At 45.3% G+C, this 23,002-nt stretch overlaps 1 protein-coding gene across 3 annotated transcripts in view; it reads left to right on the plus strand.

Annotated features, from left to right (window-relative positions):
* The window catches only part of CLCN6 (chloride voltage-gated channel 6), a 36,940-nt gene that overhangs the window by 712 nt on the left and 13,226 nt on the right, over window positions 1–23,002 (plus strand). Inside the window, exons 2-13 of one of the 3 annotated variants that reach the window (NR_046428.2) lie at window positions 229–288; window positions 8,944–9,009; window positions 9,713–9,778; window positions 12,586–12,652; window positions 15,793–15,899; window positions 16,805–16,931; window positions 17,584–17,651; window positions 19,254–19,322; window positions 20,213–20,319; window positions 21,204–21,317; window positions 21,556–21,722; window positions 22,294–22,420. Coding sequence is in view for 2 of the 3 variants with exons in the window: in NM_001286.5 (NP_001277.2) it covers window positions 229–288; window positions 8,944–9,009; window positions 9,713–9,778; window positions 12,586–12,652; window positions 15,793–15,899; window positions 16,805–16,931; window positions 17,584–17,651; window positions 19,254–19,312; window positions 20,187–20,319; window positions 21,204–21,317; window positions 21,556–21,722; window positions 22,294–22,420 (1,161 nt within the window). In the remaining variant the exon portion in view is untranslated. Of the gene's footprint in view, window positions 1–228; window positions 289–8,943; window positions 9,010–9,712; window positions 9,779–12,585; window positions 12,653–15,792; window positions 15,900–16,804; window positions 16,932–17,583; window positions 17,652–19,253; window positions 19,323–20,186; window positions 20,320–21,203; window positions 21,318–21,555; window positions 21,723–22,293; window positions 22,421–23,002 lie in introns of all 3 variants that reach the window. The other 2 variants (NM_001286.5, NM_001256959.2) reach the window with 2 other exon arrangements.

Genomic DNA, 23,002 nt, shown 5'->3' on the forward strand with positions numbered 1-23,002 from the left:
GAGGGTGGTTATTTGGAGACTATCAGTGGAAATGAAGAGCTCAGCTGATGGCTGTAGATCCTCACCCACATGGTCCCTCACCCCTGAAAGGTTTTTTTTGAGGGCTGGTTCCTATTTGATAATGGCTCCAGATGATTTAGAAGCTAGCCACTGATTTCAGTAAATACTTCTGCCTCCTTCCACTCCTAACCACTAAAAAAGGCTCCCTCTGCGGATCTGTTTTTCTAGACCATCCTTGGAGAAACACAGGAGGAGGAGGATGAGATTCTTCCAAGGAAAGACTATGAGGTGAGCTCCTTTGATACTGCTTGGGCAACTAAAGTAGTGAGTGGCCTGGTCACTTCAGGCCGAAGCATTATGATTCCAACCAGAGATGCTCTTTGACCTTCTGTCCCAGGGAGTGAGTGGGTAAGAGAACTTCCTTCTAGGAAAGAGACTGTTTAGCAAGCCCTTTTCTCACCTTAACCCCAAAACAAGGTCTGGTGTTTTTACACGTTTATAAATCTGTGGCACCTTAACCTGGATAGAGTATGTATTTGCCATTAAACTGTTTGCTTTTACAGCTTACAGAGAGACTTAGAGTGAAAGGCACTGGCAGGCAGTATGTGCCCCTAACAGGTGTGTGCTTATAAACTGTTAAGGAGGCCTTGCTTCTCTTCTAGGAGAGCTTGCTTTTCAGATATTTTCTTGCTCAAGCAGCTTCTCTCTGACATGTTCTTGATTAAGTTCCACCTTTCATGTATGGGATTCTTAGAGTATGTGTTTTTAGTAAAGCCAACACTGCTGGGGTGAAACAACATGCGTGACTTTTTATCATTAAATTCTTAAACGTAATAAAGAAGGTAGAGAAAAGCCTATAACTCCATTCATTAAAAGATGACTGTTAACACCTTACTAAGTATCTTTCTACATCCTTACCCATGCTTTTATATACATGATACATGCTTTTTTTAAGTAACAAAAATGAGATTCCACTAAATCATCTATTTTAACCTGTCCCACTCACCCCCTTTATTATACTTTTTGTATCATTAGGTAATTTTCCACAACCTTTTCTTTTTTTTGACAGAGTCTCACTCTTCCATAAATTCTTCATGCTGTAGAATTTAGTGTCAGCGTTAGGATTTGTAGCACTTTTTTGTTTAACTTTTATTATGAAGGATTTCAACTATATGCAAAAACAGAATAATCTGTTGAAACCCCTTGTCCTCATCACACAGCTTCCACAGTGATTTAGCTCAAGCCCAGTCTTCTTTTGTCTGTGCTTTCGTTATCCACTTCTCCTTTCTCATATTATTATTTTTTATTGTATGTGTGTGTGTGTTTGTGTGTGTGTGTGTGTGTGTGTGTGTGTGTGTGTGTGTGTGTTTTAAAGTAAAGACAGTCTCCCTATGTTGCCCAGGCTGTTCTCGAACTCCTTGACACCAGCGATCCTCCCATGTCAGCCTCCCAAAGTTCTGGGATTACAGTCATGATCTACCATACCTGGCCGCCCTTCCCATGTTATTTTGAAAGAAATTCTGTACATCATATTATTTCACCCATAATTCTATATGCATCTCTAATGGATAAGGACTTTTAAAAAGCATAACCCAATACTATTACCACATCTAAAAAATTAGGAATTTCTTGATATCAAATATCTACTGTCCAGATTTTCCAGTTTTCTTGTAAATGTCATATGTATTTTAACTTTATTTGAATTAGGTTCCAAAAGTCCTTTTTTATTTGTTTGATAAATCTGTTAAATCTCTTTTAATCTGTAGCTTCTTCCTTCATCTTTTTTTTTTTTTTGTAAGTTATTTGACAACATAATTAGGACCTGGGATTTTCTACTGTCTAGATTTTGCCATTTGGAGCCGTTTGTATAGTTTAATATGCTACTCTGATGGGACTGCTTTGAATGAACCAAAAAGCACTGTATCCACTGCTGTGTTTTGTTCTATTTCTTTTTTTTTCTTTTTTTTAAATTTGAGATGGAGTCTCACTCTTAGTGCCCAGGTTGGAGTGCAATGGCTCGATCTCAGCTCACTGCAACCTCCACCCCACCCTAGGTTCAAGCGGTTCTTCTGCCCCAGCCTCCCGAGTAGATGGGATTACAGGCGCCCACCACCATGCCCGGCTAATTTTTGTATTTTTAGTAGAGATAGGGTTTCACCATGTTGGCCAGGCTGGTCTCGAACTCCTGACCTCAGGTGATACTGCTTCGGTCTCCCAGAGTGCTGGGATTACAGGTATGAGCCACTATACCTGGCCATTTTCTTCTGTTTCGTAAGTATTTGTTTTCTTGTACATAGTTGAGAAGTTTGCAGGAATTAGTATAAGATACTCCATATTGTTCTGTCACCTTGCACTCCCTCACTGAACCCTGTTACATCATCCTGACTGTATCACCAGGACTGAGACTGTCTCACAGCCTTCATCCTACTTCTAGGAGCTCACCAAGGCTTCCCCATTGACACCCAGGCTCCCTCACCCCTTCTACTAAATTGTACTTACATTTGTAATGTGCTTGCCTTCAGCTGATATGCATATTCATGTAAATTTTTGTTGTTCTTGTCATTGTTTGAGACAGAGTCTCACTCTGTCGCCCAGGCTGGAATGCAGTGGTACGGTCTTGGATCACTGCGACCTCCACCCCCGCCTCTGAGTTCAAGCTGTTCTCCTACCTCAGCCTCCCAAGTAGCTGGGACTACATGCATACACCACCATGCCTGGCTAAGTTTTGTATTTTTAGTAGAGATGGGGTTTCACCATGTTGGTCAGGCTGGTCTTGAACTCCTGACCTCAGGTGATCCACCCACCTCAGCCTCCCAAAGTACTGGGATTACAAGCGTGAGCCACCACGCGTGGCCATATTCATGTACATTTCATGGGTTAATGTTCTTTTGATATTGGTCATTGATATTTCTCAACCATCTTCAAGAATGAGCTTCTTGAGAGCACTTGCTTTGTGTAAGAACAAATTCAGGCACTTAAACAGAAAAGTCTGGATTTTATTTATTCAATAAATAAATCAACTTGACACAAAAAGTATAATAAAGAGGGGAGTGAGTGGGACAGGTTAAAATAGTTGATTTAGTGGAATCTCATTTTTGTTATTTAAAACACGTGTTAAAAGCATGTGTATAAAAACGTGGGTAAGGATGTAGAAGGATATTTAGTAAGGTATTAATAGTCATATTTTAATGAATGGAGTTATAGGGTTTTCTCTACCTTGATAGTCAGTCAACTAGAAAACCCTTCTGTTGAATATCTTTCTAAAAAGTGCCCCTTCTTCCTGTCTCAGGAAGAGTTCATTGCACATATTTGACTCTTTATTTGATAAATTTAGGGTCTTACAAAATGTTAGAATCCCATTTTGACATCCATTCTCATTATAGGTGGTTTGAAAAATGGTAACTTTCTGTGAGATGTGCCATTGCAAACAGGAATGTTTTCATGCAGGTCACACAGTCTATTTATATTGTACCTTTGAATTAGAAAGAGGCACACTCAGAACGTAAGACTTAGAATTAAAGGCCTCCCCCACTGGCCATAGCAGCACCCCTAGCTCACAACCAGTTGAAGGTGGTTTTGGTGTGAACACTAAGATGCCCCTTCCTGGTTGAATTGGGGCTGGTTCAGCCCCCACCTCCCTCCCGGCCAGGTGCCATTTTGCTCGTAACCCCCTGTAACAGCCCTGCAAGACACAGATAACATTTTATTTTTTTAAAAAGTTGTTAGTCCCCTAAACCAAAGAGCAACATATACTGCAGAAATAAAAAGTTAGTCATAGCAAAGGAGAAGTAACAGTATCTGGTTTTAATAATAGCTCATATATTCCATTGGTACATATTTACAAAGGGCCAAACTCAACTAATTTATTTAAAAAAAAAAGAAGCGTGGCACAGTGGCTCACGCCTATATGCTCAGCACTTTGGGAGGCCAAGGCAGGAGGATCGCTTAAAGCCAGGAGTTCAAGACCATCCTGGGCAATAAAGTGAGACTTTGTTCCTACAAAAAAATTTGTTCAAAATTAGCAGGGGGCCGGGTGCAGTGGCCCACACCTGTTACCCCCACACTTTAGGAGGCTGAGGCAGGTGGATCACTTGAGCCCAGGACTTCATACCAGCCTGGGCAACATGGCGAGACTCCATCTCAACAACAAATACGAAAAAATTAACGAGGTGTGGTGGCTAACCTGTGGTCCCCCCTACTCAGGAGATCGAAGCAGGTGAATTGCTTGAGCCCAGGAGACGGAGGTTGCAGAGAGCTGTGATCACGCCACTGCACTCCAGCCTGGGTGACAGAGCGAGACCCTGACAAAAAAAAAAGGGATTCTGGTGTTCTAGCGTTGCGGTTGTTTCTAAATGCCCTTCTTAGCAGTTTTATTGCACTATAATTGGCATACTATTCAGTTCACCCATGTAGAGTGTACAATTCAATGGGGTTTTAAAAATTAGTATATTCACAGAGTTGTACAACCATTCCTACAGTCAATTTTTTTTTTTTTTTGAGACGGAGTTTCGCTCTTGTTGCCCAGGCAAGAGTGCAATGTTGTGATCTCAGCTCACTGCAACCTCTGCCTCCCGGGTTCAAGTGATTCTCCTGCCTCAGCCTCCCAAGTAGCTGGGATTACAGGCGTCTGCCACCACACCCGGCTAATTTTGTATTTTTAGTAGAGACGAGGCTTCTCCATGTTGGTCAGGCTGGTCTTGAACTCCTGGCCTCGGGTGATCCGCCCGCCTTGGCCTCCCAAAGTGCTGGGATTACAGACGTGAGCCACTGCGCCCAGCTAATTCCTACAGTCAATTTTAGAATATTTTCATCACCTGAGAGGAAACCCTGCACTCATTAGCAGCCACTGCCTGTTCTCCTTGCCCCTGACTCCAGGCAACCAGTGATCTCCTTTCTGTCTATTTGCCTATTCTAGATATCTAAAAACCTTCTAAATGTTTACGGAACCATATCATTATTAGATGGAACCATCAATGAAGTACTTGACCAGTAATTTCCATACATATTTTGGATGAAGGCAAGGGTATTGTTTCTCCTCTGCTCTCAGGCACCACTCGCGGAACACTGCTAACACCGATATGTGGAGGTTGTTTCCCCACTACTCAGGAGGCTGAGGTGGGAGGATGGCTTAAGCCCAGGAGTTGGAGGTTGCAGTGAACCGAGATTATGCCACTGCACTCCATGCTGGGTGACAGAGAAAGACCCCATCTCAAAAAAAAAAAGTAGTAGGTTGTCACCTGCATTTCTCAGCAGCTGGCAGTGAATTGAAGGTTCACAGGACTCCCTCCTTGAGTTTGGTTAACTTGCTAGAGCGGGTCAGAAAACACAGAAATGCTACTTACATTTGCTAGTTTATTAATAAAGGATATCATAAAGGATACAGAAGAACAGCCAGATGGAGAGATTCAAGGAACGTGGGAGGGGGCACGGAGCTTTCATGCCCTCTCCAGGCACGCTACCCTCCAGGAACCTCCAAACGGTTCAGCTGTCTGGAAGCTCTCTGAACCTTGTCATTTTGGAGTTTTATGGAAGCTTTTTTATGCAGTCATGATTGATTACATCACCAGCCCTTGGTGATCAGCTTAACCTTCAGCTTCGGTCTCCTCCCTGGAGGGATGGGTGTCCCACCCCGCTAATCCTGCCTTGGTCTTTCTGGTGACCAGCCCCTTTTCTGAAGCCATCTAAGGGCCCCCAGCCGCCACTCATCTCATTAGCAAACAAAAGATACCACGGCTCAAAAAAAAAAAAAGACAAAGTATGTTTGTGTGTGTGTGTGTGTGTGTGTGTGTGTGTGTGTGTGTGTGTGTGTATTGTTGGGGCTCAGAAAATGATACCTGGAAATATGGTGCTTTGATATGCTGAACTCTCCACCCTCACACTTTGTCTCTCCCAAAGCACAGGATGAGGCTCTTCTCTGCCGTTCCCTTATCTACCTAGAAACTGGACCTACCAGAGAGGAACACAGTTGTCTTTGATCCCTTTCCTGAAATGTCATTAACCAGGGAACATTAAAACTCATCTTACAGAGGAGACTGAAGACCAAACAACATACCTAGAGCCTGGACAAACTGTCCCAACCGTTGTTTGTTCACTGTCCCATACAATTTCCAAAGAGAATCATTCACAAGATGATATCTGCTTCCCAGATCCATTCATTCCCCACTAAGAATTATTTCCTCCCACATCCCTATCTCCCCTTCCCCTGTGAAGAAGAGTATAGAAGCGTCTGTACCTCGCTGGCATTATTGGGTAATCATTCTGCAGTTCCCCTGTGCAATGCATGTTAAATAAGTGGATGCCTTTGCTCCCATTAATCTGCCTTTTGTCGGTTCACTTTCAGCAGACCTTTAGAGAGTGAAAGGGGAAGCTTTTCCTCTTGGCCGCTACAATACATATGTAGGTGCATATATGTTTAATCACTTATGGATGAGTCTAGTTTCTAAAAGTACTTTTTTCATCACTGTGTTTCTTTTCTGATCAGTAAAAAAGATTTTTTTTTTTTTTTTGAGACCGAGTCTCACTCTGTCGCCTAGGCTGGAGTGCAGTAGCACAATCTCGGCTCACTGCAGCCTCTGCCTCCTGGGTTCAAGCGATTCTCCTGCCTCAGCCACCCTAGTAGCTGGGATTACAAGTGTGTGCCACCACACCCACCTAATTTGTGTATTTTTGGTAGAGACGGGGTTTCGCCATGTTGGCCGGGCTGGTCTCAAACTCTTGGCCTCAAGTGATCCACCTATCTCGGCCTCCCAAACTGCTGGAATTACAGACGTGAGCCATCACGCCCAGCCGATCATTTTTTAAAATATAAAAAAGCACACCATTTGTGCTATGAGAATTTCAGACAACACCCAGAAACAAATATCTCCTTAAGCACTACCTCACGGATGTTTTCCCATTATGAATGCTGACGTACAAATAATCCTAATTTTGTTTAATCAAAAAGGGATATTATACTTTTAATTCTCCATCCTGCTTTATTTTTATTTTTTAATTGCATCTTGCTCTTTTGCTGAATAATTTTTGGAGATTTTCCATATCTTTCTATATAGACTTAACTATAATCATTTTATTGGTGTATAGTTTACTATATTTGGATGTATAATTGATTTACTCAGTCACTTGTTGGTACTCCAGGACTCATAAAAAAAGAATTTGGACTAACTCTAGGTAGTCATATAGATAGAATAAATTGTCACTCATCACATGTGTTTGGCTGACTTGAAACTATTGTCTGGGAGTGTGGCTGCCACCCAGCCAATGTCCAGCTGATGTGGGTAGGAACAGGTTGTGGGAAGGAGAGCTGATGGCCGACCATTATTTTTCTTTGTTGCCAAACTGCTGCGTCTTTTTTTTTTTTTTTTTTGAGAGTGTCTCACTTTGTTGCCCAGGCTGGAGTGCAGTGGCATGATCTTGGCTGGCTCACTGCAACCTCCGCCTCCTAGGTTCAAGCAGCTCTCCTGCCCTAGCCTCCCGAGTAGCTGGGATTACAGGCGTGCTCCACCACTCCCAGCTAACTTGTATTTTTAGTAGAGATGGGGTTTCACCATCTTGCCTAGGCTGGTCTCGAACTTCTGGCCTCAAGTGATCCTCCTGCCTCAGCCTCCCAAAGTGCTGGGATTACAGGTGTGAGCCACTGCACCCAGCCCAGACTGCTGCTTCTCTAACAAGACAACTAAAATGATTTCCTTTGAATTGTTTCTCTAAATGTCTGTGGCATACCTGCAAGTTGCTTGCAGGATTTCTGTGTTTTGTGATGCATGTTGTAAAGGATGCTGCTTCAGATGTAGAAGTTTTAGGAGCCGAGAGCCAAGCTGAATCTGTGCCTCTTCCTAACATAAAGTGGAAGTTGGCCAGGCGCAGTGGCTCATGCCTGTAATCCCAGCACTTTGGGAGGCTGAGGAGGGCGGATCACGAGGTCAGGAGATCGAGACCATCCTGGCTAACACGGTGAAATCCCGTCTCTACTAAAAATACAAAAAAATTAGCCGGGCGTGTTGGCAGGCGCCTGTAGTCCCAGCTACTCAGGAGGCTGAGGCAGGAGAATGGTGTGAACCCGGGAGGCGGAGCTTGCAGTGAGCTGAGATTGCGCCACTGCACTCCAGCCTGGGCGACAGAGCGAGACTCCGTCTCAAAAAAAAAAAAAAAAAAGTGGAAGTTGCTTTTAAAAATACTTTCCATGTTAGTTTGTCTTGTGACTAACCTCATTTCCATAGACACTAACTACAAAAGATAATTATAACTAATTGACATTCTAAATTAATTTGGTTCTGGCTAACTGAAACTTTTGTTCATATCTAATGGAGTAAGTTTCATAAGGCTGATGATAGCTGAAGGTCTTTAAATATTTTGCCAAAACAGGAAGTTTAAAAATAGGTAATTTAAAACTTCTCCTAAAGCATGAAGTATGAACCTAAAGCAACACCACTCAAATTTTAATGTGCATCTGAGTCATCTGGGGCTGCAGGGCTGCAGGAGTCTAAGATTCTGCATTTTGTTTTTGTGTTTGTTTTTGAAACGGAGTCTCGCTGTGTCACCCAGGCTGGAGTGCAGTGGTGCGATCTCGGCTCACCACAACCTCCACCTCCCAGGTTCCAGTGATTCTCCTGCCTCAGCCTCCAAAGTAGCTGGGACTACAGGTGCGCGCCACCATGCCTGGCTAATTTTGTATTTTTAGTAGAGACAGGGTTTCACCATGTTGGCTAGACTGGTCTTGAACTCCTGACCTCAGGTGATCCACCTGCCTTGACCTCCCAAAGTGCTGGGATTATAGGCATGAGCCACCGCACCCAGCCAGATTCTGCATTTTGAACCAGCTCCTCCTGGGTGCTGCAGGTACCACTGCTCTGCCCATCCACACGTTGAGTAGCAGGAACCCAGAGGTTTGTCCCTTTGCAGGTCTTCTCACCTGACATGACCTTTTGACTCAACTTTGCCTCTTTTCAGAGTTTGGATTATGATCGCTGTATCAATGACCCTTACCTGGAAGTTTTGGAGACCATGGATAATAAGGTGGGTCTTACAATTCTTCATCTCTGGGGATCAAATCAGTCTTAACATGGCATTTTTTTTCTCTTCTAAAGGCCCCAGTAAACATCTTTACACCTTGTTTTTTGAACCTTTTCATGCGATACAGGCAGACCTCACTTTATGCGCTTTGCTTTATTTCACCTCGCAGGTACTGCAGGTTTTACAAACTGGAGGTTGGTGGCAACCCTGTGTTGAGCAAGGTGCCATTTTTCCAATAGCATGCATTTTGTTTGCATTTTTTAGCCATAAAGTATTTTTTAATTAAGGTAGGTACATTTTTGTAGGCATAATGCTATTACACACTTTATAGACCTCAGTATAGTGTAAACATCACTTTTATATGCACTGGGTAACCAAAACACTCGTGTGACTCACTTTATTGTGATATTTGCTTTATTGTGGTGGTCTAGAACCAAACCCATGCTATCTGCAAGGTAGGCCTATGTTGGCATTTATTCCCTAGGCCTTTATCCTGCCAACCAGAGTTCCCCCTGTCAGTGCACCTTGCCCAGCCTCTTAAGAGTCCATCATTTTTGCACTGTAAAGCACCTGAAATCCCAACATCATCTTTACTGTGCCTGCTCTCCACGTGGAATTTAGCTTAAAACTGGTTGGCCAAGATGTATTTCTTCCCCTCTGCCACCATAACCCTGTAAACTGAATCATTCTTTTCCTGTGTGAACAGAAAGGTCGAAGATATGAGGCGGTGAAGTGGATGGTGGTGTTTGCCATTGGAGTCTGCACTGGCCTGGTGAGGAGGCAGGGCCTGGAGGGATGGTGGGCCATAGGGCTGGAGGGGCTTACAGGGAAAGCCCTGGCCTGGTGAATAACATTGTCATTTGTCATTATAACATTTATAACATTATAATGCAATAACACTTGTCATTATAATCAAGAGTGCCTTTTCTTTTTTCCCTTTTTTTTTTTTAAATGAATAATCCTGGCACAGTTTTTCACACTTCCCCTGCTTTTGCTTTGTGAAATGAAAGCGAGACACATGACAATGGTGCTCTTGAAGCGCTCAAAGGTTTGGGCAGGACTTTATCTTTTATGATATGATTATGGATCATAATCTCTAATCTACCTAGTAAACTAGATGTCTCCCTAATGGGTAGATAATGCATTGGGTAGAGTAAATAATGGAAGTTAAAGTTACTTTTTTTTTTCTTTTAATTTAAATAGAGACAGGGTCTCGCTTTGTCACCCTGGCTGGAGCACAGTGGCGTAATCACAGTTCACTGCAGCCTCGACCTTCTGGGCTTGGGTGATCCTCCTACCTCAGCCTCCCGAGTGGTTAGGACTCTAGGCAGGCATGAGATCGCTCTTTAGGGAAAAAGCGAAGTCGTGGGTACGGAACTGTGAACATCGTGCCCTTCATTTAGCACAGCGTGCCAGTGAACAGGGTGGCACACCATAGCTATTGATCTCATGCAGGGAGTTTATGGTGCTATCCTGGGCTCCTCCCCGTACGTCGTTAATGTTATCTAGAAGATAGAGCCAGCAGCTGTGAGTGAAGGGATATGCCCGTATGAACAGAGTTGGTGGAGGCAGCAACTTCACAGGTGAATCAAAGACAAGGCAAGATTGGAAACATGGCCAAAGATGAGGATAGCAAAAAGTCTGGAACCAAAACTGCCGACTTCACATTGTTAAATATGAGGAAGAGAAGCTGGAAAAATCAGCATCAGTCAAAAAGATCCATGTCAAATCTGATTCCGGTCAGTACAGTGTTGGGATAGGGTATCTGTCCTCAGTAACAGCCTGTTGACCACCTTTATCTTGAACTGGCCACAAGCCTCCTACTTAATTTGACATGATATGCCTAGAAAATGTACACATGTGTTCGGTATAATATAGCCACAGGGGCCAACCACAATTTTTATTTTCATGGCATGCATCAAATTTTTACTATAGTAAATCCACAAGTAAAGGAACATCTTACTAGGTAAGACTGATGGCATTCAGAAGCCCTCTTCAGTGATATTCTGATGGATACCATTTTGGGGAAACTTGGGTTGATTTATTGTTTTATTTAAATCTCAGGGTGTTGGGCCAGGGACGGTGGCTCACACCTGTAATCCCAGCATTTTGAGAGGCCGAGACAGGAGGACTGCTTGAGCCCAGGAGTTTGAGACCAGCCTGGGCAACGTAGGGAGACCCTGTCTCCTTAAAAATAAAAAAAAAATTAAAAAAAAGAAATCTCAGGGTATTTATTTTGCTATATATGTTTCTGGTTGCAGATTTCTCTATAATAAGCATAGTCCTTAGGCCTCTAGTTGTTAGTGTTTGTGCTACTTTTATATCAAACTCTTTGGAGCTGCCACTTGTCAGTACTACAGGTTGAGTGTTCCTTATCAGAAAATCCAAAATGCTCCAAAATCCAAAACTTTTTGAATGCTGACACGATTCTCAGGAAATACTCATTGGCGCATTCAGATTTTGGATTTCAAATTTTTGGATTTGGGATGTTTAATCAGTATAATGTAGATATTCGAAAAAAAAATCTGAAATCCAAAACACTTCTGGTCCCAAGCATTTCAGATAAGTGTTACTCAAGCTGAAGCAACTTTACCTCCTACCTTTGTATTTTAGGAAGGCACACCTGCCTTTATGACATAGCACTCCCAACTCTTGTCCATTGATGTGTGGCCACTTTATGGCTTCAGTATCAAAAAGCCTCCAGGCATTGGCTTGAGGGAAGGCCAGAGTTAAAGGCAAGAAGCTTTGATCCTGAATCCATAAAATTAGAAGTCTTTCTAGTTCTCCTTTAAGCCCTGAGCACTTTGGAGAGTGGAATACTGGAATTTGGTTGTTTTCTCTACCCAGAGTAACTATGGACTATAAGATGGTTATAAGTCAAGCCTGGCACAGTGGGGTGTGCCTGTAATCCCAGCTACCTGGGAGGCTGAGGCAGGAGGATCTCTTAAACCCTGGAGTTCAAGGCCAGCCTAGGCAATATAGCAAGACCCCATCTCAAAAAAAGATGATTTCAAGTCAAAATAATGACTTACAAAATAGAACCTGCTAATAAGGAACATGCAAAAAGCACATACACCTAAATGAATGTTGTGTTTTAAAGCAAGCTTGTCCAACCCATGGCCCAACACAGATTCATATACCTTTTAAAAACATTTATGAGATTTTTCTGAGTTTTTCTTTTCTTAGCTCATCAGCTGTCATTAGTGTATTTTATGTGTGGCCAAAGACAATTCTTCTTCCAGTGTGGTCCAGGGAAGCCAAAAGAGTAGACACCCCTGTGTCAGTAGTCTTTCTTGGTCTCACATCTTTTTCTGCACCTGCTTCCCTCTTTGTTTTCCGTTGCTTCACTCAACTTAGCTGTACTCTCTGCCTTTGTTCTTTGGAGGGGCAGTGGGACTGGGCTGGAGAAGGGATCTCCTCCTTCTGCGCTTTTCTGCTGTGCATTCACGTACTGCTGGCTGGTGAGCAGCCTCCGTATGTGCAGTGGGGGAGGAGATGCCTTCAAGAGGAGCACACCTGTACTATACTTGTGCTACACTTGGAAATAAGGCTGTGTGACAGATCTCTTGCTCTTCACAGGTGGGTCTCTTTGTGGACTTTTTTGTGCGACTCTTCACCCAACTCAAGTTCGGAGTGGTACAGACATGTATCCTTTTCACGGTTCCTGGTGTTCGTGGACTTCAGTGGTCACCAAGATTCTTTCTTACATAGAAATGGGTCTAACAGTAAGCATAGTATTAGAAGGGCCGCTTATTAGCTATTCAGCTTTAATATTTCTAATGATCACTGAAGGACACAAAAGAAGGACTTTAATAAGCAAAGACATATACCTATGTTTGTGGTTGATAAGATTACAGATGCCGCAAAGATGCCTGTACTCCCTAATCTGTAAATTTAATGTAGTTCCAATCAAAATTCCAATAGAATTTGTTGTGGAACTCAGAAATTCTTTGTAAATTTGTGTAGAAGAGTAAAGGGCCAAAAGCAGTCAGTATAGTTCTAAATGACAAGAAGGTGGACTTGACCCTGTCAGATATCAAGTCTTATAAAATTAACAAGTTTGGGGAGTTAGGGAAAAAAAAGTCATAAAATTTAAGATACAGTCATTGAAATTGGTCATATTGGTGCAGGAATACCTAGACAGTGGAAAATGATAGAGAAGCAGAAGCTGGTCCTCACATACATGGAACTTTGGTGAATGACAGTTAATATTACAAATCAGTGAGGGAGTGATGAATGATTTAATAAAAGACGCTGTGTTATTTAATAAATAAAAGATACACATCTCTGTAGTCCCAGCTACTTAGGAGGTGAGCCCAGGAGTTTGAGGCTGTAATGCACCATGACTGTGCCTGGGCAGCATAGCAAGACCCTGTCTTAAAAAAAATGATGCTGGGACATGGGTGATCCATATGGAAAAATAGTTATATTCCTATTTCATACTATAAATAAGATAAATTCCAGATGAAGATGTAAATATGCAGAACAAAACTTCGGGAGACTATATGTTGTCAAGAGTGGGGAATAATTTCTTAAAACTCCAGAAGGCACAGACTATAAGAAAAAACATCAATGGGGCCGGACACAGTGGCTCACGCCTGTAATCCCAGCATTTTGGGAGGCAGAGGCAGGCGGATCACAAGGTCAGGAGATTGAGACCATCCTGGCTAACACGGTGAAACCCCGTCTCTACTAAAAATACAAAAAAATTAGCTGGGCGTGGCGGTGTGCGCCTGTAGTCCCAGATGCTGGGGAGGCTGAGGCAGGAGAATGGCATGAACCTGGGAGGCGGAGCTTGCAGTAAGCCAAGATCACGCCACTGCACTCCAGCCTGGGTGACAGAGCAAGACTCCGTCTCAAAAACAAACAAACAAAAACATCAATGGCTGGGTGCAGTGGCTCATGCCTGTAATCTCAGGACTTTGGGAGGCCGAGGCAGGCAGATCACCTGAGGTCAGGAGTTCAAGGCCAGCCTGGCTAACATGACAAAACCCCATCTCTACTAAAAGTACAAAAAATTAGCTGGGCATGGTGGCGGGTGCCTGTAATCCCAGCTACTTGGAAGGCTGAGGTGGGAGAATCGCTTGAACCCGGGAGACAGAGGCTGCAGTGAGCCGAGATCGCGCCATTGCACTCCAGCCTGGGCAATGAGAGCAAAACTGTCTCAAAAAACAACAACAAAAAAAAAAAACAAACAAAATCAATAAATTTGACCACATCAAAGTACATATTGTATTTATAAAGACAAAAACTCCAAATAACAACAATAAAACACCATAAATAAAGTGAAAACAAGTCCACAGCCTGAGAGAGGTTATTTACTATGCATTTAAGAGGCAGATAATTAGTATCCAGAATACAGGAAGAGGCTGGGCGCGGTGGCTGACGCCTGTAATCCCAGCACTTTGGGAGGCCGAGGCAGGCGGATCACTTGAGGTCAGGAGTTCAAGACCAGCCTGGCCAACATGGTGAAACCCTGTCTCTACTAAAAATACAAATTGAGCTGAGTGTGGTGGTGTGCACCTTTAGTCCAGATACTTGGGAGGCAGAGGCAGGAGAATCACTTGAACCCAGGAGGCGGAGGTTGCAGTGAGCCGAGATTGCAACACTGTACTCCAGCCTGGGTGACAGAATGAGACTCTGATTCAGAACAAATAATACAGGAAGAACTCCTGCAACTCAATCAGAAAAACAACAGATGGTCCAATGGAAGGAAAACGAGCAAAGGATGTGAACTGGAATTCTCAAAAGAGAAAAACTGGCCAGTAAACCTCTAGAAAAAGGAAGGTGCACATTCCTGTGACTCATACATTCCTCTTAGAAATTTGAACCGTAGACATGTACAAAGGTGGTAATTATAGCTTTATGATAGCAAAAAGCTGGAGTCACCAAATGGGAGAATGGAAAAATTATGGTACATTCATATGGTATCATTTTAGACATCATGTCATTTCTGTAGATTGTAAAATAAAAATTTTAGACAAGTGAAAGTGAACGAACCACAGAGTTGTGTGTATCAACATGGCTAATTCTCAAAGACTTAATGTTGAGAAAAAAAGAGCAAGTTACAGAATATACAAGTGCCGTGTACAACAGTGTGGACACTTTTGAAATACACACAATAATTTCAGGTTAGTGGTTTCTCCCAGGGGAGAGAGGAAGGAAAACTGTTTTTTTTTTTGTTTTGTTTTGTTTCTTAAAATGGTACTGAATGTTTTCTTTTTTAAAAATACCTGGAGCATATATGGCATGTTGTTGAGATTTGTTAAAGCTACAGTTGTGAGGGTATGGGTATTCGTTACTTTTTGTAATGTTTGAAGTATTTCCTAATGTCAAAGGCATCTCAAACAATTTTTTCTTTTTTTTAAGAGATGAGGCCTCACACTGTTGCCTAGGCTGGAATGCAGTGGTGCAATGACAGCTCACTGCAGCCTCAGCCTCCCAGGCTCAAGCGATCCTCCCACCTCAGCTTCTTGAGTAGCTGGGACCATAGGCATATACCTTTTGTACTTTTTGTAGCGACATGGTCTCACTACATTGCCCAGGCTGGCCTCCAACTCTTAGGCTCAAGTGATCCTCCTGCCTCAGCCTCCCAAAGTGTTGGGATTACAGGCATGAGCCATTGCACCCAGTCATCTCAGGCAGTTTTTAAAAAATTTTTATATATAGAGAAAAAGTGCACTCAGCAGCCAGCATGATCCAAAGGAGAAGCAGCTGCACCCTCTCAAGTGATGACGGGGACACCCCTCGGCTGATGAACAAGTTTCCTTAACCCAGTTTCCGCAGCGGTGGAGGAGTGCAGCCAGAAAGGCTGCCTCGCTCTGTCTCTCCTTGAACTCCTGGGTTTTAACCTCACCTTTGTCTTCCTGGCAAGCCTCCTTGTTCTCATTGAGGTGAGGTGGTTTGGATTCACCTGCTCGCTTAGGAGGTTTTAGAGTCCCGCACTCCTTTTCCCCACCTCCTTCCAGAATGTCAGGAAACTGAGAATGCAGATTCCTGCAGAAAGTGGCCTCTTGTTCACTAAAGGTAAAGGTTTCACCTCTGGTGAGATTAAAGAAGAAAGGCCTCCCAGGTGATGCTCATTCACAGGGAACTTGTACAGATTCTGGGGGGAGGAAAAAAGGGGGAAAGGGCTGAAAACAAAACTGTTGGGTGCCATGCGCACTACCTGGGTGACAGGATCATTCATGTCCCAAACCTCAGCATCATGCAATATACCCTCGTAACATACCTGTACATGCAATCCCTGAACCTAAAATAAAAGTGGAAATTATTTTTCTTTAAAAAGTGCAAGTCTGGCCACTTTGGGAGGCCAAGGCGGGCAGATCACCTAAGATCGGGAGTTTGAGACCATTCTGACCAGTGTAGAGAAACCCTGTCTCTAGTAAAAATACAAAATTAGCCGGTAAAAATACAAAATTAGCCGGGCGTGGTGGCGCATGCCTGTAATCCCAGCTACTCGGGCGACTGAGGCAGGGGAATTGCTGGAACCCAGAAGGCGGAGGTTGCAATGAGTGGAGATTGTGCCATTGCACTCCAGCCTGGGCAACAAGAGTGAAACTCTACCTCAAAAAAAAAAAAGAAAAAAAAGTGCAAGTCCTCCCATTGCCCCTCAGACCTCCTGAGTCAGATCCTCTGGAGTGGGGCCCAGCAGCTGTGGTTCTGCAAGCCCTCCAGGTGACGCTCACGCTGCTAATGAAGGTGGCCAGCTCTCCCTCTTCCGCCGCCCAGATTGTTGAGGGTAAGCCAGAGAACCAATGGATTTCGAGTTATGGGTGTGCCTGCTCTCCTCCATCAGCCGGTGGCAGCAGGTTCCGGGATACCCGAGGTCAAATGCTATCTGAATGGCGTAAAGGTGCCAGGAATCGTCCGTCTCCGGACCCTGCTCTGCAAGGTCCTTGGAGTGCTGTTCAGTGTGGCTGGAGGTAAGAAGGGTCCAACTTGTATCCTTCAAATACTCAAAGGGCAGAGACGACAAGAAGCATGATGTATTTCAGTTATTAGATTTGGACTGCAGGGCCCAGCCTCAAACAGCTGATGTCTGCACTTTTTGTTGATGGGCTGTTTTTAAATGCAGACACTGTTCGTATGTTACCATTCAGATACCTGACAAACACACTCTTCAGTTTTGGGATTTGGAATTTAGCTTGTGGAATTAGCTTTTGTCAAAATTAGCAAGCTTTTTGTGTCAACAGCCAGATAGTAAATATTTAAGGCTTTGTGGGCCAAGAATCAGAATGGAAGCTCTTATGTAGATGTTTATGTAACTATTTACATGTGTGCATTTAAGAACGTAAAAGCCAGTCTTAGTTCTCAGGCCGTGTAAAACCAGGAGGGAGCTGGTGGTCTGGGCTCACAGGCTCTCATTTGCTGACACACAATTTAGAATGTAGAGTGTTTTCTCTTCTAGCAAGACTTGAAATGGAGCTTATTTGGTGGGAATTTGGCTCTTTCTCTTATAAAGTCTTAGGATCATCTCTGTTCAGTTGTCACGAGGAAGGTTTTTGTAGCCAAGGTCTCCTGACCCAGGGGCGTTTCTGCACTGACTGTTGGTCTTTCCTTTTTCACCCTGCCCAGGGCTCTTCGTGGAGAAGGAAGGCCCCATGATCCACAGTGGTTCGGTGGTGGGAGCTGGCCTCCCTCAGGTAAGATGGGCTGAGAGGGTGTGGGCCTCTGGGCAGGCCTAGTGGGAGGTCTGGTTACACTGGGCCAAATCCATTGGGACACCCTGACATCACATTGGAACCTGGTGCCATTCTGGCTTCACGTGTAAACCATGTGTCTATCTCTCAGGAAAGGGCATAACTTATACTTGGAAGTTTTAATGATGCCCTACCGAGCCCTAGGAGCAAAAATGAGACATAGAGAAAAACTGTGACGTGGCGGATGAAAGTCACTGGGTGCTTCCATAGCCATCACCAGGCGCCTCTATATAGGGTGGCTGGGTGGATCATCTCAGTGCTGCCAGATCCAAGAGGCTCGAAGCATCGACTGACATGGTTTTAGGCACAGTTCCGTGCTGATTCTAGTTGGCGTGGTACAGTCATAATAACTGCTGCTAATTATGGTCTGTGTGCCAGACGCCATGTATACTAACTGCTTTCTCCTTATAGCCACCTTCAATGATTCGTTGTTATTATTACCCCCATCCTCAGATGGGGAAACTGAGGCTTAGAGAGGTTGAGGTACTAGCTCGAGACCTCAAAGCTCCCATTCTTGGGGGCTACTCCAGATCCCTGGCTGCTGTTGGAGAAGTCTCAGTTCCCTGTGAACTGTCACTCTTAGTCATTTCCCTCTCCAGTCCTGAGAAGAGGGAGTTATTGTGGTTGGGAGTCTCTGAGGTGAAGGAGGGAAGATTCTTTCGTCCAGAGCTCGTCTTTTGGTCTCTCTCCTGCTACTGCCTTGAGCACCAGATCTGGCAGAAGTGAGCCAAGGGGTGGAAGGCCAGGCGTGGAGTGGGCATCAGTGTGCACCTTTGTGGGGCAGACAGAGGACAGGCTCTGGGCCCTTCTCTTCCTGGCGCTGCTGAGCAGAGCAGACTCGGTCTTCTGCAACAGCTTCCGCGTCCCCTTCCCTCAGCTCAGCCATTTGCCTTTATTCTTTCAGACTTGTTGACTCTGCACAAAATGGGATTTCAGAAGGTCCTAGAAACACGAGGGCAGGAAAAATAAGCTCCTCCCAAGGGTGGGGGGTAATCTCCTTTTTTCCCAAGTTTTTTTATTTTCATTTTTTGAGACGGAGTCTCACTCTGTTGCCCAGGCTGGAGTGCGATGGTGCCATCTCTGCTCACTACAGCCTCCGCCTCCTGGGTTCAAGCGATTCTCCTGGCTCAGCCTCCTGAGTAGCTGGGATTACAGGCATATGTCACCACGCCTGGCTAAATTTTGTATTTTTAGTAGAGACAGGGTTTTGCCACGTTGGCCAGGTTGGTCTCCAACTCCTGACCTTAGGTAATCAGCCGTCCGCCTCGGCCTCCCAAAGTGGTGGGATTACAGGCGTGAGCCATGAGCTACCACGCCCAGCCTCCTTTTTTCCCAAGTTGCTGTTCTGGACTTTCCTTCCTGCAGCACACTTACCCAGGTGTGCTCAAGCAGAGGGGCCTCCCCTGATGCCGTGGATTCCCATAGTTTCAGTCCTAGGCTGCCCCTGACCTGTGTTCTTTTTTTTTTTTCCATAATTACTGGGGTACAGGTAGTATTTGGTTATATGAGTAGGCTCTTTAGTGGCTCTCTTTTCTCTTGCTTTAGTTTCAGAGCATCTCCTTACGGAAGATCCAGTTTAACTTCCCCTATTTCCGAAGCGACAGGTATGGAAAGGTTAGAAATTGGTTTCTTTTTTGGAAACAACATGTTCATGCGCTGCGGGTCAGACTCGACACTTGCTCTAGCCTGGCAGTATCCCCTGCGGGGAAACCCGACTGGGAGAAGGGGGCGGGCTTTGAACTTTTCTTCTGGAAATAAGAAGCCAAAGCACCAGGCTGGCATCGTGACTTTTATTTTGTCATGCCGTAAGGCCTAGAAGCATCTCAGGCAAATGAAGATGGTCCCAGATTAAAAACCCAACCAAGAAAGGCCACAGACAGGCATATTCTTAGGAAGGCGTTTTGTATTCCCCAGTGATTCACTTGGTCAGCCACCCTCCTGGGTCAGAAGGTACTCTTAGTAGACTTCTTAGCCCTGTATCAGATGTGTGTGTTACTGACCTGCCGGCCTCGTAAGGCTCTTTCAATCAGAGACTCAGTTTAGAGTCACGGACCACCTTCTTTTTGTATTCCTGCAAGTTCGGCACATACCCAGAAGGCACCTTGATGTTTTTACTGATGCCGGGGTTTTCTGGAAGGAAGATCCGGTGGGAACATGGTGCAGCAGTGATCGTGCCGATCTTTGATCTGCCCCCTGAGCTGGGGGCTGAGATTCTGAGATCACAGAAAACACAGAGGTCAGGGGCTCCTGTTCCCAGGCAGAGTAGCCGCCATGCTGAAAGGGACTCTGGTGCTAAGGTGTGTGGCTCTCGGGTGGACACACTCGCGGCAAAGGCTGCCTCACCAGTGACCTGCCCTTCCAGGATCCCTGCCTATTCATTCACAGGTGTGAGAAAATGTTCATGATAAGGAAGTCAGAAACCACCTTTTGGGGGCTGGGGGCTCTTTATTGGATAACCCGTCTCTCTCCTCTCCTCAGAGACAAGAGAGACTTTGTATCAGCAGGAGCGGCTGCTGGAGTTGCTGCAGCTTTCGGGGCGCCAATCGGGGGTACCTTGTTCAGTCTAGAGGAGGGTTCGTCCTTCTGGAACCAAGGGCTCACGTGGAAAGTGGTGAGGAGGACCTTCAGTGAAAGCATTAACCACACCCCCCGAATTACACTGGGTGTCCCTTACTCGGTACATGGAATGGTAGTTTTGATGAGACTGGGGGGTCAACTGGATCAGAAACAGCTTTCCTCTTGTGCCCATAACCTCCACACTGGACTTTCTGTACTTCTCATATCAATACCCTCCCTAACCCCAAATCAAACCGCTGTTACTTTTTTTTTTTTTTTTTTTTTTTGAGATGGAGTCTTGCTCTGTTGCCCAGGCTGGAGGGCAGTGACGCGATCTCGGCTTACTGCAGCCTCTGCCTCCTGGATTCAAGCGATTCTCCTGCCTCAGCCTTATGAGTAGCTGGGATTATAGGCACGTGCCACCGCATCCAGCTAATTTTTGTATTTTTAGTAGAGATGGGGCTTCTGACATCAGGTGATCCACCCGCCTTGGCTTCCCAAAGTGTTGGGATTACAGGCGTGAGCCACCACGCCTGGCCTTGTTATCCTTTCTTGATGAACCACCTGACATGAAAATGTGAAACTGGCTGTTGTCATAAAGCAGGAAGTGATGGGGCTTGGACTGGAGCCGGTCTTCTCCCTCAGAGCAGGCTGTCCTTCCCTTTGCATTGATCCTTCCTTTTGGTGCAAGGTCTGGTCTGTAAAGGCTGTAAATAGGCTCTCATAGTAGAGTAGGCTGCTGGAACGGAAACTTCTTAAAGCCCAATCTAGAGTTGGTCATACCTGGGGTGTATCTACTGTAAGGGTGACTAGATCTCTGTACCCGGATGTAGATTCCGGAGGTCTCTGCGTAGAGCAGTGGGTACCAGGAGGAAGGGTTGGGAGAGAGTAGGACATGCCACTCCTGAACCTTCTTGTCTTTTGTCACCTCTCCCCTAGCTCTTTTGTTCCATGTCTGCCACCTTCACCCTCAACTTCTTCCGTTCTGGGATTCAGTTTGGAAGCTGGGGTTCCTTCCAGCTCCCTGGATTGCTGAACTTTGGCGAGTTTAAGGTATGTTTTGTCCTTTCCCCAAGGATTTTTAATTTGACCCATGAAAATTTCCTCTCAAGTGAAGGACCAGAGAGAAATGAGCAGAGGGCTAGGTACAACTTCCAGGGACACATCTCACCCATTAGCCTCTGCCGTGCGGGAAAGCAGCCCCACTCTTGCTTCTGTCTTCTCTTCTGTCTCTTCCGGTTCTCATGGCTGCTATGGTTTTTCTCTCCCTCTCCCTTTCCCCTTCTCTCAGTGCTCTGACTCTGATAAAAAATGTCATCTCTGGACAGCTATGGATTTGGGTTTCTTCGTCGTGATGGGGGTCATTGGGGGCCTCCTGGGAGCCACATTCAACTGTCTGAACAAGAGGCTTGCAAAGTACCGTATGCGAAACGTGCACCCGAAACCTAAGCTCGTCAGGTATCTGCACAGTCGCCTCCCCCCCGAGCCTGCTGCGGCTCCCTGAGCTTGGTGTGGGCCGCGCCATCTCTCCCGAGGAGCGGACCCTGCCTCCACGGCTTTGATTTCTCATCTAAGACTGAGAATCTAAACACGGCCATGCATCTTCCCTACTTGACAGGCCAAAGGGCTGAGCCAGCTTAATTGATGTCAGAGTTGCTGGTTGACTCCCTGCCTGTCCTGACTTGGCCACTCGGACACATGACAAGGTTAGAAGGGTCACCGTGGCCCTGCCGAGCAGCTTGCTCTCAGGAGGCTTCTCGCCCCAGGACTTATTATAATGGAAAGCCATTCATTCCTTGGAGAGAGATGATGTGGACGTAGCAGCCCACTTTAACTGTCCACTTTTTACAAACAAATTGCTGGAATACAGCAAATCACGGATCAATTCTGCACACATGTTGACTGACCAGGGGCTGCTGTGAATGCTGTTTGGAGAAATCGGGGCTGGGGGTAGGCAGGGTTATGTTTTGAATTTCTGAGACCAGAGCTTCTTTCTGTGGCGTTGTAACAGCTGTGCTTTGCCTCCTAGAGTCTTAGAGAGCCTCCTTGTGTCTCTGGTAACCACCGTGGTGGTGTTTGTGGCCTCGATGGTGTTAGGAGAATGCCGACAGATGTCCTCTTCGAGTCAAATCGGTAATGACTCATTCCAGCTCCAGGTAACCCCAGTGCACCTGCTACCTTTATCCCATACCACGAGGAAGAATCCAGAAATGTATGACCTTCCTCTGTTGAGAACTAATAGATATGTTGGGTTCATCCTTCCACACCCATTACCTGAGCGTTGAGAGATATGGGAATCTGTAGTCGTCTTTTTACCTCAGAGAAAGTGCACACCACATGCCCTGTGTCTTTGCCACTTCTGTGAACAACCCTGGCGTCACAGAGGGGAACCTGGGAACAACCCTGGCGTCACAGAGGGGAACCTGGGAACAACCCTGGCGTCACAGAGGGGAACCTGGGAACAACCCTGGCGTCACAGAGGGGAACCTGGGAACAACCCTGGCGTCACAGAGGGGAACCTGGGAACAACCCTGGCATCACAGAGGGGAACCTGGGAACGACCCTGGCGTCACAGAGGGGAACCTGGGAACGACACTGGCGTCACAGAGGGGAACCTGGGAACAACCCTGGCATCACAGAGGGCAACTCCTCTCTGTTGAACAACACTCATGGGAAACAGACACTTGGAAAGCTGACAGCAAGGTGCTTTCTGAGCCCCAGTTACTCTTCCACCTCCC

Source organism: Homo sapiens, chromosome 1, assembly GCF_000001405.40.
Source record: "Homo sapiens chromosome 1, GRCh38.p14 Primary Assembly".
NCBI classification, from domain to species: Eukaryota; Metazoa; Chordata; class Mammalia; order Primates; family Hominidae; genus Homo; species Homo sapiens.